The sequence below is a fragment of the Homo sapiens genome, chromosome 7 (assembly GCF_000001405.40).
Source record: "Homo sapiens chromosome 7, GRCh38.p14 Primary Assembly".
Lineage (NCBI taxonomy): Eukaryota > Metazoa > Chordata > Mammalia > Primates > Hominidae > Homo > Homo sapiens.
The window spans coordinates 76,069,193-76,087,547 of record NC_000007.14 but is presented as its reverse complement, the minus strand read 5'-3'; the positions used below and the strand labels follow the sequence as shown (position 1 = coordinate 76,087,547).

Genomic DNA, 18,355 nt, shown 5'->3' with positions numbered 1-18,355 from the left:
AAAAATATGGAATGATTCAGAAACTTGCATGTCGTTCTTGCACAGAGGCCATGCCAATCTCCCTATTGTTCCAACTGTAGTATACGTGCTACTGAAGCAAGCATGAGTAATTTAAGATAAAGTGGTTAAGTGGAATAAGGAAGAGTTATGGGGAATTTAAAAATTTATGGTATTTATAGGCACCTAGTAACAGCTCAGTAAATATTAGCTGCTACTTTTATTATTTTTATGGTAATTCCACTCAATTAAAAACTGTCATTAAAAATTACCATTGTCATGGAACATAATGTATCCTACAGTATAATTGTAAAAACAGATACAATTTGTCTCTTGGTATATTGGGGGGATTAGTTCCAGCTCCCCCATTTCTGTGTACACCAAAATCCACCCATACTCACTGCAGCCTAGACTTTTCAGGCGCAAGGGATCTTCCCACCCCAGACTCCAAAGTAGCTGGAACTATAGGTGTGCACCACCACCACACCTGGCTAATTTTTTTTCTTTTTTTGGTAGACACAGGGTCTCACTATGTTGCCCAGACTGGTCTCCAACTCCTGTCCTCAAGCGATCCTCCTGCCTAGGCTTCCCAAATTGCTGGGATTACAGGCATGAGCCACCATGCCTGGCCTCTGCTAGTTCTGTATTCTCTAGAGTTGTCTTTCATTTGTGCTAGTGTGTCACTCATTACGCCAATCCTCTGTTATAATTAATACTTTTTATATTAAATTTACATATATATATATATTTTTTTACTTTTTTTTTGTTTTTTATTGGTACTGGGTCTCACTCGATCACCTAGGCTAAAGTGCAGTGGCACGATCTCTGCTCATGGCTACCTCCACTTCCCAGGCTCAAGCAATTCTCCTTCCTCAGCCTCCTGAGTAGCTGGGATTACAGATATGTGCCACCACGCCTGGCTAATTTTTGTGTTTTTTGTAGAGACGGTGTTTCGCCACGTTTCCCAGGCTGGTCTCAAACTCCTGAGCTCAAAGCGATCACCCGCCTTGGCCTCCCAAAGTGCTGGGATTACAGGTGTGAGCCACTATGCCCATTTTAGTTTAAACTTCTGAGTGGTTTATATCTCCTGATTGGACTCCTAGAAATACAGAATTGATGCTGGGAAGGGTACCAGGAGATGGACCCACACAGATGGGATTTAGGCATAGGTTTGGTTATCCAAGGAGCAGAGCTGAGCTATTTGCCAGTGGGACATGGGATGCTGATGATTTCTAGGAAGTGACCTCACAATGACTCAAGCTACCACTTAATGTTGATTGTGATGAAATGCCAGCCGAGGCATATGCCATTCAAGCTAAGGGTGCTACACTTGACCACTGCGGCAGTATAGATGAGTCTGAAGAATGGTATGGGATGGATACTTACGAATGCACTCGAGCAGGGGTCTCCATCCACAGGGCCACAGAGCCAGAGGTGAGCAGCAGGTGAGTGAGGGGAAACTTCATCTGTATTTATAGCCCCTCCCCATTGCTCACATGACCACCTGAGCGCCATGTCTTGTCAGATCAGCGGCAGCATTAGATTCTCATAGGAGCATGAACCCTGTTGTGAAGTGTGCAGGTAAGGGATCTAGGTTGCGTGCTCCTTATGAGAATCTAATGCCTGTTTCTCCCTTCGCCCCAGATGGACAGTCTAGTTGCAGGAAAATAAGTTCAGAGATCCCACTGATTGTACATTATCATGAGTTGTAGAATTATTTCATTGTATATTACAATGCAATAATAATAGAAATAAAGTGCACAATATATGTAATGCACTTGAATCATCCTGAAGTCATTCCCTCCACCACCAGTCTGTGGGAAAAATTGCCTTTCATAAATTCACTCTGTTTTTTTGCATAGAGACAGGGTCTTAATGTGTTGCCCAGGCTGATCTCAAACTGCTGGGCTCGAGTAATCCACCCCTCTCAGCCTCCCAAAGTGTTGAGATTACAGGCGTAAGCTACCACGCTCAACCAAGACTGAATTTCTTAAATAAAAATTAGGGGAGATTACTTGAGCCCAGGAGGTCGAGGCTGCAGTGAGCCCTGATTGCACCACTGCATTCCAGCATAGGTAACAGAATGAGACTCAGTCTCAAAAAATAAAATAAAATAAAAATTAGACTGGGCATGGTGGCTCACGCCTGTAGTCCCAGCACTTTGGGAGGCCGAGGCAGGCAGATCACGAGGTCAGGAGATTGAGACCATCCTGGCTAACACGGTGAAACCCCATCTGTACTAAAAGTACAAAAAATTAGCCAGGTTTGGTGGCAGGTACCTGTAGTCCCAGCTACTCGGGAGGCTAAGGCAGGAGAATGGTGTGAACCCAGGAGGCAGAGCTTGTAGTGAGCCGAGATTGCGCCACTGCACTCCAGCCTGGGCAACAGAGCAAGACTGTCTCAAAAAAAAAAAAAAAAAAAAAAAAAAAATTAACCCTTTATGAAGTTCCCAGTAATTCTTTCCTTCCTAAGTGTTCCCCATAAGGCTTTGAATTTTGTTTGCTTTTCACATACCATTTAAAACGTTTAAGAACTTGTGTCTGTCTGTGTCATCCCTTTTTTTTTTTTTTTAAAGAATATCTTTTTGTCACTTCCAGCTGGATCTACCATGAAAGACTTCAGAGTCCAGGAAGAGAGACTGATTGGGCAACATGTTATTCAGTTACAAAAAGACTTGGACTATGACTCAAAAATGATCAAATAATAGTGCATGCATCCAATGCAATAAGAAGCACTTCTGGAGGGTGAGAGAAGCATCCAGTTAAGGTGACATTGAAGCTGGGTCCTGAAAGATGAGGAAGAATTGTATGAGAGTGGGCAGAGAAGGGGGAGGTGGAGGGATGGGGAATGGGCTGAGATGGAGTGAGCTGCTCAAGCAGGGAAACCAGCACTGTAAAGACCTGGTCAATAAAGATGGCACATTTTATTCAGGGAATGGTGAATTAATTGTGGCAGGAATGCTTTGGAGAGAGAGTAATTTGCTTGTATGGAATTTTGCCCAAGAGACCTCATTACAGTTTCTAATCTTTTGATGTTATCGTCTATCACTGTCCTTGTCAGATAGTTTGGAATAGGTATAATGATCACAATAACATCAAGCATAATATTTCATTAATTCTCACAAAATCACAGGTAGGTGCCACAGTTATCCCCATTTTGTGAATGAAGTGATGAAGACTTAGGAATGATGAGTGATTGCCCAAGCTCACCTGGATATTAAGAGTGAGTCAAATGTTGGGTCTGGTCTGACTTTAATGTTTGCTTTGTTCATGAGCACCACATGTTGCCTCTCCTATGCAGTTAAGCAGGTAGACAGGTGAAAGAAAAGCCCGTGTTTGTCTCTACTCACACACTTCTGACTGAATGTGTGTGTGGAATTTCTACACCAAGTTCTCCAATGCTCTGGATATTAACTGGGTATCCCACAATTTTATTCTGACACTTCTTGGAGTTGGTGTAGACCCCACAGGTTACGGGCTCAGTCCCACGAGACCACCCTCGCTTCACATGCCAATGGCAAGTCCTAGGTTGTCACCTATACTTTTGACCAACCTGTTACAAATCAGGGGTTCCCATGACCCCCTTCTTGGGGTTTAATCATTTGCTAGAACAGCTTACGGAACTCAGAAAAACAGTTTGTTTCCTTTTTTTCTGAGAGACAGGGTCTCATTTTGTTGCCCAGGCTGGTGTGTAGTGGTGCAGTCACAGCTCACTGCAGCTTCGACTGCCTGGGATCAAGTGGTCCTGACCACCTCAGCCTCCCTAGTAGCTGAGACTACACGCTTGCGCCACTATTTCTGGCTAATTTATTTTTTGTAGAGATGGGGTCTTGTTATGTTGCACAGGTTGGCCACAAATTCCTGGGCCCAAGTGATCCTCCCACCTCAGCCTCTTTGAAGCGCTGGGATTACAGATGTGAACCACCACATCGGGCCAGTTCATTTCCTGTTACTGGTTCCTTGTAAAGGATGCACTGCAGATCCAGCGGTGTAAAGGATACATCTTTGTAAAGGATACATCGCAGATACATTATCCAGCTGATGAAAGAGATGTACATGCCAGATGCAGTGGCTCACACTAATCCCAGCACTTTGGGAGGCCGAGGTGGGAGGATTGCTTAAACTCAGGAGTTTGAGACCAGCCTGGGCAACATGGTGAAACCCTGTCTCTAAAAAATTTTTAAAAAGCTGGGCACGGTGGCTCAAGCCTGTAATCCCAGCACTTTGGGAGGCCAAGGTGGGCGAATCACGAGGTCAGGAGTTCGAGACCGGTCTGACCACCATGGTGAAACCCCGTCTCTACTAAAAATGCAAAAATTAGCCAGGCATGGTGGCGTGCTCCTATAATCCTAGCTTCTCAGGAGTCTGAGGCAGGAGAATCGCTTGAACCCGGAAGGTGGAGGTTGCAGTGAGCTGAGATCACACCACTGCACTTTAGCCTGGGCGACAGAACTAGACTCTGTCTCAATAAATAAATAAATTGAGTGGGGTGATGTGTACCTGTAGTTCCAGTTACTACAGAACTAGACTCCGTCTCAATAAATAAATAAATAAATAAATAAATAAATAAATAAATGAGCGCAGTGGCGTGCACCTGTGGTTCCAGTTACTAGGGAAGCTGAGGTGGGAGGATGTTTTGATCTGGGGAGGCTTAGGTTGCAGTGAGGTAAGATTGTGCCATTGCACTCTAGCCTGGATAAAAGAGCCAGACACTTTCTCAAAAAAAAAAAAAAAAAAATGCCCGGGGCAGGGTAAGTGGGGAGGGGCACAGAGCTCCCATGCACTTTGTTGAACATGCTACCCTCCCAGCATCTCCTATGTTCAGCAACCCAGAAGCTCTGCAATCCCTGTTGTTCAGGGTGTTTATGGAGGCTTTATTATGCAAGCACGATTGATAAAATCCTTGGCCACTGGTGATTAAGTCAGTCTCCAGCCAGTCTTGCCTCCTGGAGTTAAGTGGGTGAGACTGAAAGTTCCAAGCCTCTAATCATGTGGTTGCTTTTTCTGGCAATCAGCCCTCCTCCTAAAGAAATCTAGGAGCTTGCAGCCACTCATCATCTCAACAATACCCCCAAATGCATTCTTATCATGCTGGAGATCCCAAAGTTCTTAAAGGCTCTTGGGTTAGAAATCTGGGACAAAGACCAAATATTAAAACAAAAGATGCTCCTATCACCTCTAACACTGAGGTCTTTATAAAAGCTTTAGAAGCTCTGTGCCAGGAACCAGGGACAGAGACCAAATATATTTTTCTTTTCTTTTTTTGAGACAAAATCTCCCCGTGTCATCCAGGCTGGAGTGCAGTGATGTGATCATAGCTCACTATAGCTTTGACCTCCTGAGCTCAAGTGATCCTCCCACAGCAGCCTCTCAAGTAGCTGGGACTACACATGCATGTCACCCATGCCCAACTCATTTTTGTAGAGATGAAATTTAGTTATGTTGCCCAGACTGATCTCAAACTCCTGGGTTAAAGCGATCATCTCACCTCAGCCTCTCAAGTAGCTGGGAGTACAGGCACACACCACCATGTCTGACTAATATTCATTTTTATTTTTTTGTAGAGGTGGGGTCTCACTGTTGTCCTGGCTAGTTTCAAACTCTGGGCCTCAAGTGTTCCTCCTGCTTTGACCTCCCAAAGTGTTGGGATTATGGGTGGCAGCCACCATGCCCAGCAATTACAAGGATTTTTTTTTTTTTTGGTTGTTTTTTTTTTTGAGACGGAGTTTCGCTCTTGTTGCTCAGGCTGGAGTGCCGTAGCGCAACCTCTGCCTCCTGGGTTCAAGCAGTTCTCCTGCCTCAGCCTCCAGAGTAGCTGGGAATACAGGCATGCGCCACTATGCCCGGCTAATTTTTGTATTTTTAGTAGAGACGGGGTTTCTCCCTGTTGTTCAGGCTGGTCTCGAACTCTTGACCTCAGGTGAATCACAAGGATCTTTATAAAAGAAAGAGGGTAGGAGAGTCAGAACTGGAGCAGGAGATGTGGTGATGGAAGTCGAGGTCAGAGAGGGAGATTTGAAGATGCTTCACTTCTGGCTTTGAAGATGGAGTAAGGGGCCATGATCCAAGGAATGGGGGTGGCTTCTAGAAGCTGGAAAAGCCAAGAGAACACGTTAGAGCCTTCAAAAGGAATGCAGCCCTGCTGACACCTTGACTTTAGCTTTAATAGACCTAGTTGGGGCTTCAAGGCCCCAAGAATTGTAAGATGGTTTATTTGTGGTGTTTTTAGCCACTAAATGTAGGAAAGTTTGTTGCAGCCACAAGAAGAAATGAACATAAAGCCAGGCATGGTGGCTCATGCTGGTAATCCCAGCACTTTAGGAATCCAGGCAGGAGGATCACTTGAGGCCAGGAGTTCAAGACTAGCCTGCACAACATAGTGAGACCCTGTCTCTACAAAAAATTTTAAAAATGGCTGGGCACGGTGGCTTGCACCTGTAATTTCAGCACTTTGGGAGGCTGAGGCAGGCAGATCACCTGAGGTCAGGAGTTCGAGAACAGCCTGGCCAACATGGCAAAACCCCATATCTACTGAAAATACAAAAGTTAGCCGGGTATGGTGGCATGCGCCTGTAATCCCAGTTACTGGGAAGGCTGAGGCAGGAGACACCCTTGAAACTGGGAGGTGGAGGTTGTAGTGAGTCAGGATCGCACCATTGCACTCCAGCCTGGGCGACAAGAGTGAAACTCCATCTTAAAATAAGATAAAATAAAATAAAATAATAAAAGAAATCAGCCAGGCTTGATGACATGCACCTGTAGTCCCAGCTACTAGGGAGGCTGAGGTGGGAGGATTGCTTGAGCCTGGGAATTAGAGGTTGCAGTGAGCTGTGATTGCACCACTGCGCTCCAGCCTTGGTGGCAGAGTGAGATCTTGTCTTCACAAAAAAAAAAAAAAAAAAAAAAAAGAATAAATGAGCATGGTGGGCAAGGGGACAGATGGCAATAGAATAGTCAGGGGTGGCCTCCTAAGTAAAAATTAAGCAAAGACTTGAAGGAGGGGAAGGAGTTGGCCAAGGTGCTGTGGGAAGAGCATTGTAGGCAGAAACAACGGAATAAGGTGTCTGAGGTGTGTCTGAGGCTCTGGAAGGAGGCTAGTGGAGCAGAAGGAGAGAGGGAGAAAATTAGGGCAGCAGGCCAGAGATTTGCTGGGCAGGGATCGGTACAGACTGTGTAAGCCCTGGGAGGTTATTGCTGGGCTAGATGGGAAATTCAGGAGGGTTCTGAGCAGAGAGGCGACATGATCTGTCTGCCGATTTAAAAGCATTCTCTGGCTGCTGAGTTGAGAAAGACTGTGGGAAGATTTGGATAGAAGCATGGGGGCCAAGTTGTGGCAACATCGAGGTGGGAGATGATAGTGGTCTTGACCAGGGTCGTGGTGGTGGTGAGAGATAGTCAGAGGAGAGAAGTTGGGGAGGAGGCCAGGGAGTTGCTGGGTGGGGATCTTCAGTACATGTTGAAGACAGTCAACAGGATTTCCTGACAGACTGGATGTGGGGTGTGAGAGAAGGCAGGGGTCAAGGTTGTGTTAGATTCTTACTGAATTATTAAGTAATTTTAAAAAACACTACTGCCTTTCCCAGTCCTATTAAGTATGGGATAGTAGATTAAAGAAATCTCTTCACGCTCAGTGCAGTGGCTCATGCCTGTAGTTCCACCTGTTTGGGAGGCAGAGATGGGAGTATCTTTTAAGGGCAGTAGTTCGAGACCAGCCTGGGCAATATAGCAAGACCTACTCTCAATAAAAATGTTTTTCAAAATTTAATAAAATGAAATGTAGCTAGGCATGTTGATGTGTACTTGTAGTCCCAGCTACTCAGGAGGCTGAGGTGGGCAGATCTCTTGAGGTCAGGTGTTTGAGGCCAGTTTGGGCAACATAGCAAGACCCCTCACTCTACAAAAAATTAAAAAATAGCCAGGTATGGTGGCACTCAACTGTGGTACCAGCCAGTGGGGAGCTGAGGCAGGAAGATGGCTTAAATTCAGAAGGTCGAGGCTTCAGTGAGCTATAAGTGCACAACTGCTCTCCAGCCTGGGCGACAGAGCAGGACCCTGTCTCACAATACAAATAAAGTAATGAAATCATAAGTTAGAGCCTTTTGGCTCTGTAGCCCTTGCAACCCTGGAGCCGTGCAGTGGGGTTTGCATCACTGGGAATGAGGAGACCCCTCCCCAGTATTGTTGCCTGACTAATCAGTGTTTTAAAAAATATATGAATCTGTTGGGAGGCCGAGGCGGGCGGATCACGAGGTCAGGAGATCTAGACCATCCTGGCTAACACGGTGAAACCCTATCTCTACTAAAAATACAAAAAAATTAGCCAGGCGTGGCGGTGGGCACCTGTAGTCCCAGCTGCTGGGGAGGCTGAGGCAGGAGAATGGCGTGAACCTGGGAGATGGAGCTTGCAGTGAGCCAAGATTGTGCCACTGTACTCCAGTCTGGGGGACAGAGCGAGACTGTGTCTCAAAAAAAAATATATAGGTATATAAATATAGTTATATAACTATATATTTATATAAATATATAAATTTATAAATTTTTATATTTATATAAATTTATATAAATTTATATTTATATATAGTCATAATATATAGTTATATAAATATATAGTTATATAAATATATCACTACATATTTATATAAATATATATGTACACACATACATATATATTAATATATATATTAGCATGGGCGCAATGGCTCATGCCTGTAATCCCAGCACTTTGGGAGACCAAGGTGATCACCTGAGGTCAGGATTTTGAGACCAGCCTGGCCAACATGTCGAAACCACATCTCTACTAAAAAAAACACAAAAATTAGCCAGGCATGGTGTTGGGCGCCTGTAATCCCAGCTACTTGGGAAGCTGAGCCAGGAGAATTGCTTGAACCCAGGTGGCGGAGGTTGCAGTGTGTCAAGATTGTGCCACTTCACTTCAGCTGGGTGAAAGAGTCAGACTGTTTCCCAAAAAAAAAAAAAAAGTATTACGTATGTCAACTTGTAATGGTTTTATTATTCATGTGTAATGAATATATATTTTAAAAATTTGTTCTGTATTATATCAACATGAAATGGTTTTATTATTAATATGTAATGAATATTTTAAAATTTTTGTGTTATTTTCTAATTTTAATATAATTATTTATATAAAGAAAAAGTCCTAAGAGAGCTTCAATAGAGTTAAAAAATGTAAAGGGATGCAAGACTCGAAAAGATTGAGAACATGTAGTTTAGACATATTCAGAGTAAGCCACATACAACTTGCTACTTTACCTATTTTCTTTCTTTCTTTCTCTCTTTCTTTCTTTCTTTCTTTCTTTCTTTCTCTTTCTTTCTTTCTTTCTTTCTTTCTTCTTTTCTTTCTTTCTTTCGTTTTGTTTTGGGAGATGGGGTCTCCTCTGCAACCCAGGCTGGAGTATAGTGGTGCAATCACAGCTCACCGTAGCTTTGAACTCCTAGGCTAAGGCTCCTCCTGCCTCAGCCTCCTTAGTAGCTGGGACTGTAGTTATACATGATGACACCTGGCTATTCTTTAAATTGTTTTGTAGACATGGGGTCTCACTTTGTTGGCCAGGCTGGTGTCAAACTCCTGGCCTCAAGTGACCCTTCCACCCCTGCCTCCCATCCTAGAGGTATTAGCCACCACAGCAAACACTTGTTCGATTTTCTAAAAATAAACAAATTTCCGAATTAAGGCTGGGGGATGATGGCCAGAAGATAAAAGTAGAAAAACAGAAGAATAAGTTCTAATGACTTACACATATTTTTTTGACAGCAAGAAGAACTTTTAGTAAATACATTCCTTACAAACAAACAGAAGGCAAATAATGTTGTACAGGAACTTCAACACACACTGCACAATATTCCCACTTTGCTGATGTCAGTTATGGAAATTCTTCGTGGTTTACTTGACTGTCGCTATCAGTATTTAGCATCTCTCATCATTTTTGTCAACTTCCTTATCTGCTAACTTCTTTCCAAGAAGTTATGTCATAATATGACATACCTCTGCTGCATGAACATGGCCAGTGTCATCCTATTTAACACGTAGAATCCTTCCCTAATTTGTTTTTTTACCCTCTGTCTCTTTGTTTTGCATTTTTCTTACCTTTATTGTCAGAAACTCCAGAAAGTCAATCGTAGTGATTTATCACCAATTGCTTCATTAATTTATACTTTGCTTATATGGAATTTTGCCCAACAGACGTCATTAGAATTTCTAACCTTTTTTCTTTTTTCTTTTTTTTTTCCTGAGACAGGGTCTTGCTCTGTTGTCCAGGCTGGAATGTGGTAGTGCTATCACAGCTGACTGCATCCTCGACCTCTCAGGCTCAAGCAGTCCTCCCACCTCAGCCTCCCAGGTGGCTGAGACTGTGTGTGCTTGCCACAATGCCCAACTAATATTTGGACTTTTCCTATACATGGGTTCCAAAGGGCTGACTGCGAAATGTGAGTATGCATGGATTTTGGTATATGCAGAGATGGGGGGCTGGAACGAATCCTCTCTGTATGCCGAGGGATGACCGTATATGTTTTTACAGTTACACTGTAGGACACATATTGTTCCATAGCCTTGAAAATGATAATTTTTAATGACAAATAATTTTGAATTTAGTGGTATAATATAAAAGTAGCAGCTGATCAGGTGTGGTGGCTCACACCGGTAATCACAACACTTTGGGAGGCTGAAGCAGGAGGATGGCTCGAGGCCAAGAGTTTGAGACAGGCCTCAGAAATCAAGGGAGTCACCATCCCTACAGAAATATACATGAATTAGCCTAGTGTGATGGCATGTTCCTGTAGTCCCAGCTACTTGGGAGGCTGAGGTGGGAGGATCACTTGAGCCCAGGGAGGCTTAGACTGCAGTGAGTCATGATCAGGACTCTGCACTCCAGCCTGAGTGACAGAGTGACCCTGTCTCAAAACAACAAAAAGTACTAGCTAACATTAACTGACCTTCTACCAGGTGCCTATAAATACCATAGATAGTTTAATTTCTTATAACTGTTTCTTATTTCGCTTAACCACTCTGTCTTCAGTTACTCCCAGATTTTCACTGTGTTTGTGCAGATGACTTTTTGTTTAGGTTCAGTTGTCTTCGAAGGTATTTCCAGAAGAAAGATTACTGTGAGTCATGGTGAATGGACATTCTCATTGTCCTTGATGTAAATTGTCAAGGTTTTGGGTGCCTCCCAGGTATAATCCCAGCACTTTGGGAGGCCAAGGCAGGAGGATTGCTTGACCCCAGGACTTGGAGGAGACAGTATGGTGAGACAGTGTCTCTATTATTAAAAAAAATTGCCGGTCAGATGTGGTGGCTCACGCCTGTAATCCCAACACTTTGGGAGGCTGAGGTGGGTGGATCACCTGAGTTCTGGAGTGCAATACCAGTCTGACCAACATGGAGAAACCCTGTCTCTACTAAAAATACAAAATCAGCTGGGTGTGGTGGCACACACATGTGATCCCAGCTACTCAGAGGCTGAGGCAGGAGAATCGCTTGAACCCGGGAGGTGGAGGTTGCAGTGAGCCGAGATCACACCATTGCACTCCAGCCTGGGCAATGAGAATGAAACTCCATCTCAAAAAATAAATAAATAAATAAAAAATTGGAAGCTTTACCCTGAAAGGCTTATATACAGTTTAAACACCCCTTATTGTATAAGAAAATGCCCGTTTCACTGCATCTTTGCCAGCACAGGGTATTATAATTTAATAAGTTATTTTTTGTTTGATGATTTTAAATGGATGAAAGCCGTCATATTACTTTGTCACATTTCAACATCTTTCCTTATACCTTATTAACCCTATTTCTTTTCTGTCTGTAAATTGTTGTTGTTGTTGTTTTGTTCTTTGAGACAGGGTCTTGCTCTGTCACCCAGGCTTGACTATAGTGCCATAATCATGACTCACTGCAGCCTTGACCTCACAGGCTCAAACTACCCTCCCACTTCAGCTTCCCAAGTAGCTGGGATTATGAGTATGCACCACCACACCCAGCTAATTTTTTTCTTTTTTTGGATAGAGACAGGGTCTCACTGTGTTGCCCAGGCCGGTCTCTAGCTCCTGGCCTCAAGCAATCCTCCTGCATTGGCTTCTTAAAATGCTGGCATGAGCCACCATGCCTGACTTTGGCTAGTCCTATATTCTCTAGAATTGTCTTTACTTTGTGCTAGCCAATCTCTCATTATGCTGTTCCCCTGTTATAATGAATAATTGTCTGTATTAAATTTTAGGACTTTGGACTTTTGAGTGGTTTATGTCTCCTGATTGGACCCTGACTAATACAGAGTTGATGCTGGGAAGGATCCCAGGAGACAGACCCACACAGATGGGATTTGGGCATAGATTTGGTTATCCAAGGGGCCGTGCTGAGCTCCTTGCCAATGGGACATGGGATGCTGTTGATTTCCAGGAAGTGACCTCACAATGACTCAAGCTACCACTTATTGTTGATTGTGATGAAATGCCAGCTGTGGCACATGCCTTGGGTGCTAAGTGGCTGCTGCACTTGACCGCTATAAAGACTGGTGTGGGAAGGGTCCTTTTGGATGTACTTGAGCAGGGTCCCCAACGCCGGAGCCATGATGAAGGCCTCTCCTGGCCCAGCTGTGGCCTCACATTGGCCTCCCCAGGCCACGTTTCCGCTTGCCTCGCGGCAGCCTTGGCAAGCCCAGCTCCTGCCTGCCGAGGGCCTCTTAAAGAGGCTCATCTCGTGCCTCGCCGTGGCCTCCCCAGGCCATGCTCCCACCTTTCGGCAGCCTCTGCAGGCCCAGCTCCTGTGTCCCGATGGCCTTTTTTTGCCTGGCTTTGCCTCACCGCGGCCTCTTGAGGCGCAGCTTTTCCCTTCTGGCGACATCTCCAGGCCCAGAACTTCCTCAAATCGGCCTCCCCCGGCCCAGTTGCTGCCTGCCGGCCTCCTCTCCGGGCCCAGCTATTTGCTCATGGCTGCGCCCACAGGCCCAGCTCCTGCCTCCAAACAGCCTCCTTTGACTCGGCTCCTGCCCAGCTCCTGGCAACCTACATCGGCCCAAAGCCTGCTCCAGTCCAGCTCTCCAGGCCCGCCTCTTGCCTCGCAGCGGCCTTTCCAGGCCCAGCTCTCGCCTCGCGGCAGCCTTCCACGACCCCACTCGTGCCGGCCTTCCACGACCCCCCTCGTGCCGGCCTCCGGGCAGCCTCCACAAGCCCAGCTCCTGCCTCATGCTGGTCCCTGTAGGCCCAGCTTGTGCCTTGCGGTGGCCTCTCCAGACCCAGCTCCCGCCCACCCCGATGGTGTCTCCCGGCCCAAAGCTCCCTTACTGAACGATGACCCCTCTAGACCCAGCTCCTGCCTGCTGCTGATGGCCTCTGCGGGCCCACCCAAAGCATCCCGAAGTTGGCTTCACCAGGCCCAGCTCCTGCCTGTTGTAGGCCCCTAGGGGCACGGCCTCTGCCCCACACCAGCCCCCCTGGAACCAGCTCTTGCCTCATCCTAGCCGCATCAGGCCAAGCTCCTGCCTTTTGGTGGTCTATCCATGCCTGGCTTTTGACTGCCGGCATCCTTTCCAGGCCCAGAACTGTTTCCAGTGGCCCTCTCCAGGCCCGGCTCTCCATCCGGGCCGCGTCCAGCGGTCCCAACCCCTGCCTCACGACAACCACGTTTGGCCCAGCTCCTGGTAGCCTTTGTAGGCCCCAGGCTCCTCGAAGTGAGGCCTCCCAGGCCCCGCCTTCGGCTCCCTGGTGGCCTGGAGAAGCCCAGCTCCTGCCTGACAGCGGTCTCTCCGGGCCCCGCTCTTGCCTCGTGTCGGCCTCCCCGGGCCACGTTGCCACCTGCCTCGCGGCAGCCCAGACAGGCCCGGCTCCTGCCTCCCATCGGCCTTTTTGGGCTCATCTCGTGCCTCACCGCGGCCTCCCCTAGGCCAGGCTCCTGCCTTTCGGTGGCCTCCGCAGGCCTGGCTCCTGCATCCCGATGGCCTCCTTAGGCCCGGCTCGTCCCTCTGAAAGGCCTCTTTCAGAGGCCTGGCTTTTCCCTCGTGGCGGCCTCTACAGGCCCAAGTGGGCAAGCCACCGCGACGGCCCGGTGGCTACCTCTCGGCCTCCTCTCCAGGCCCAGCGCTCTCTCGCGGCTGCACCTCCAGGCCCAACCCCCACCTGCAGACAGCCGCTTCTGACTCGGTTTGTGCCCAGATCCCGGCGGCCTTCGTAGGCCCGAAACCTCCTCCAGCCCAGCTCTCCAGGCCCACCAGTGGCCTCGCAGCAGCCTCCCCGGGCCCAGCTCTTGCCTCACGGCGGCCTTCCCCGTCCGTGTTCCTGCCGGCCTCCCGGCGGCCTCGACAAGCCCAGCGCCTGCCTCACACTGGGCTCTTGAGGCCCAGCTGACGCCTCACGGTGGCCTCTCCAGGCCCAGCTGCCGCCCGCCCCAACAGCATCTCCTGGCCCAAGGCTATTTCAAGTGGGCCCCTCCAGGGCCCAGCTGCTGCACCCCAACCAATGGCCTGTGCAAACCCAAAGCGTCTTGAAGTTGGCCTCGCCAGGCCCAGCTCCTGCCTGTCGTAGGCCTCTGGACTTGAGGCACGGCCTCTGCCTCCTCACAGTGGACCCCCGCCAGGCCCAGCTCTTGCCTCAGCGTGGCCGCCTCAGGCCAGGCTTGTGTTCTGCCTGTGGGCAGCCTCCACGGGCCCAGCTCTCGCCTCTGGCCATCCTCTCCAGGCCCAGAAGTGTTTCCAGCCAGCCTCTCCAGGCCCAGAACTGTTTCCAGCCAGCCTCTCCAGGCCCAGCTCTCCCTCCCGGCTGCGCCTGCCGGCCCAGCTCCTGCCTCGCAACAGCCACGTTCGGCTCAGCTCCTGCCCAGCTCCTGGCAGCCTTTGTAGGCCCCAGGCTCCTCGAAGTGAGGCCTCTCAGGCCCCACCTTCGGCTCCCCGGCGGCCTGGAGAGGCGCAGCTCCTCGTGACAGCGGCCTCTCCGGGCCCGGCTCGTGCCTCACGTCGGTCTCCCCAGGCCACGTTGCCACCTGCCTCGCGGCAGCCCCGACAGACCTGGCTCTTGCCTCCCGACGGCCTCTTTGGGCTCATCTCGTGCCTCACCGTGACCTCCCCCAGGCCAGGCTCCTGCTTTTTGGCGGCCTCCGCAGGCCCGGCTCCTGCATCCCGATGACCTCTTTAGGCCTGGCTCATCCCTCTGAACGGCCTCTTTCAGAGGCCCGGCTTTTCCCTCGTGGCAGCCTCTGCAGGCCCAAGTTGGCAAGCCACCACCACGGCCCGGTGGCTGCCTCCCAGCCTACTCTCCAGGCCCAGCACTCTCTCGCGGCTGCGCCTCCATGCCCAGCCCCAGCCTGCAGACAGCTGCTTCTGACTCGGCTCGTGCCCAGATCCCGGCAGCATTCGTACGACCAAAACCTCCTCCAGCCCAGCTCTCCAGGCCCACCTGTGGCCTCGCAGTGGCCTCCCCGGGGCCAGATCTTGCCTCACGGTGGCCTTCCCCGGCCGTGTTCCTGCCAGCCTCCCAGCGGCCTCGACAAGCCCATCGCATGCCTCTCACTGGGCTCTGGAGGTCCAGCTCAAGCCTCACGGTGGCCTCTCCAGGCCCAGCTCCCGCCCGCCCCGACGGCGTCTCCCGGCCAAGGGTTTCTCAAGTGGGCCCCTCCAGGGCCCAGCTGCTGCCCCCCGGCCGATGGCCTGTGCGGGCCCAAAGTGTCCTGAAGTCGGCCTCGCCAGGCCCAGCTCCTGCCTGTCGTAGGCCCCTGGACTTGAGGCACGGCCTCTGCCTCCTCACAGTGGACCCCCACCAGGCCCAGCTCTTGCCTCAGCATGGCCGCCTCAGGCCAGGCTCGTGTTCTGCCTGTGGGCAGCCTCCACGGGCCCGGCTCTCGCCTCTGGCCATCCTCTCCAGGCCCAGAAGTGTTTCCAGCCAGCCTCTCCAGGCCCAGCTCTCCTTGCCGGCTGCGCCTGCCGGCCCAGCTCCTGCCTCGCAACAGCCACGTTCGGCCCAGCTCCTGCCCAGCTCCTGGCAGCCTTTGTAGGCCCCAGGCTCCTCGAAGTGAGGCCTCTCAGGCCCCGCCTTCGGCTCCCTGGCGGCCTGAAGAGTCCCAGCCACTGCCTGACAGCGGTTTCTCCGTGGGTGCCAGTAATCCCAGCTGCTCGGGAGGCTAAGGCAGGAGAATTTCTTGATCCCGTGAGGCGGAGTGTACAATGTTAAAAGTTTCCTTTTCAAAGTTTCCCTTCTTCATAAAGAATAAATCATAAGTTTTAGAAATAATTTTTTAAAAATTAGCTTCCTTGAGACCTCCTTGCTTTGTGCTAATAACTGTTAAGCCCTATACTGTGTAGCTGTTAGATAGAAAAGAGTAAGTACAGTCTATGTCCTTGTACTTTAAACAATATATTTGTGCTACACATGCTTACAGGCACATAGTACAGTCTATGTTCTTGTACTTAAACCAAGGTATGTTTGCTGGCTGTGCTCACAGGGATGTCTTAGCTTGCTGCGTTCCTTATTTTGGAATGTCCTTTTTTTTTTTTTTTTGACAGTCTCTCACTCTGTTGCCCAGGCTGGGGTGCAGTGGCACAGTCTCAGCTCCCTGCAACCTCTGCCTCCCAGGTTCAAGCGATTCACCTGCCTCACCCTCCCAAGTAGCTGGGACTACAGGCGTGTGCCACCATGCCCAGCTAATTTTTTGTATTTTTTTAGTAGAGACACGGTTTCACCGTGTTAGCCAGGATGGCCTCGATCTCCTGACCTCGTGATCCGCCCACCTCAGCCTCCCAAACTGCTGGGATTACAGGTGTGAGCCACCGCGTCCGGCAGGAAATGTTATAACTTTTCTATGTCTTTTCATAAGCAACTTCCTCTTTTTCTTTATTCTCCATTAGTTTTACCTATTTAGCAGTGTTTTAAGTTGTTAGCCAATCAGGTTCAGTTTAAATTGTAATTTCTAGCTCCAGTCAATGGAGACAACACACAGTAGCAAGGACAAGCTGCATAAAGGATAAAAATTGCTTCCCTCTTTTCTCCAGAAAGTAAAATTACCTTACTGAGAAAACTTCTTTGTCTAAATGCTGATTTTTCCTTGCAGTACTGGGGAAGAAGCATTTTGTTTCTGAATAAACATTTTACTCATAACACAGAGGTTGCAGTGAGCCGAGAGCTTGCCACTGCGCTCCAGCCTGGGCGACAAAGCGAGACTCCGTCTCAACAAAACAAAAAACAAAGACTGGTTCTTGGCTTCCCGTGGCAAAGGCCTTGGCCACATCATTTTGGTCCTTAACACCATACATGCAGCCACTGGTCTTTTTTTCCTCACAGAGGAGGACAGGAGTTCTGTGTGAGGAGGTGGCCAGAAGGATGGGAGGACGGATAATTGGAGCTTGGAAGTAGACGTGTGGTGAGTTTCATCCACACTGACAACTTCCTGATGGAGTTCTGGGTGGCAGAAATGGTGCTGGGAGATGCTGTTTCTCCTCCATGTCCCTATCATCCCCCCTCCTACTCACCACCACCCCATCTCTGGTCTTTAGCATCCGAGTGGTCCCTGCCTTCACGTCACTCCTAGTTCGTGTGCACCTGCAGCTCAGGCATTGCTGGGAAGCTGACTAGAAAATGCAGAATCTGGGCCGGGTGCGGTGGCTCACGCCTGTAATCCCAGCACTTTGGGAGGGCAAGGCGGGCAGATTACTTGAGGTTAGGAGTTTGAGACCAGCTTGACCAACATGGAGAAACCCCATCTACTATACAAAAATTATCTGGCTGTGGTAGTGGCGTGCATGTAGTCCCATCTACTTGGGAGGCTGAGGCAGAACTGCTTGAACCTGGGCCAGAGAGGTTGCAGTGAGCCGAGATCACACCACTGCACTCCAGCTTGGGCGACAGAGCAAGACTCCGTCTCAAAATAAAATAAAAATTTAAATTAAAAAAATCAGAATCTGGGCCCAGCAGCAGGCTCCAGGGACCCCCCTGCCAACCCGTCCTTGGTGGAGTGTGAGCAGCCTTGGCCACCGTGTCACCATCCTGCTCAGCTCCTGGGACGCCCTGTTCCTGCCATCCACAAGCTCTTCAGCCTGTCTGCTCCGGCAGCTGCCTATGACGCCCATCCCACCCTCCCTGCTGGTTGAAATCCTGCCCAGCCTGCAGAGCCAGAGCGTATGCCATCTCCTCCTCCTCCTTTTCCCTCCTCCTAGAGATCTTGATAGGGGAAGTCCTCCTTGATGCTCTGCCAAGACATGAAGTAACCTTGCCCTCCTCTGGAGTCCCACGGTACTTCCTCTGTGTTTGTCTTGTGGATTCTCAGTACCTGACTCGTCTTTAGCCCTGGAAGGCAGGAGCTAGAGGGTGAATAGCCCAGGGACGGCCAGTATCTCCAGGCCCCTTCATCATCATCTGAAAGAATC

General features: G+C 49.1%; 1 pseudogene, besides 1 other annotated feature; it reads right to left on the bottom strand.

Moving 5' to 3' along the window:
* RNU6-863P (RNA, U6 small nuclear 863, pseudogene) lies at window positions 1-104 on the bottom strand (annotated as a pseudogene).
* Window positions 15,800-16,324: an enhancer, noted in NCBI's record as "H3K27ac-H3K4me1 hESC enhancer chr7:75700542-75701066 (GRCh37/hg19 assembly coordinates)". NCBI's record gives its function as "activates a minimal SCP1, AML or CMV promoter by ChIP-STARR-seq in primed H9 embryonic stem cells {active_cell/tissue: H9 hESC(primed)}" and the evidence as "EXISTENCE:reporter gene assay evidence [ECO:0000049][PMID:30033119]".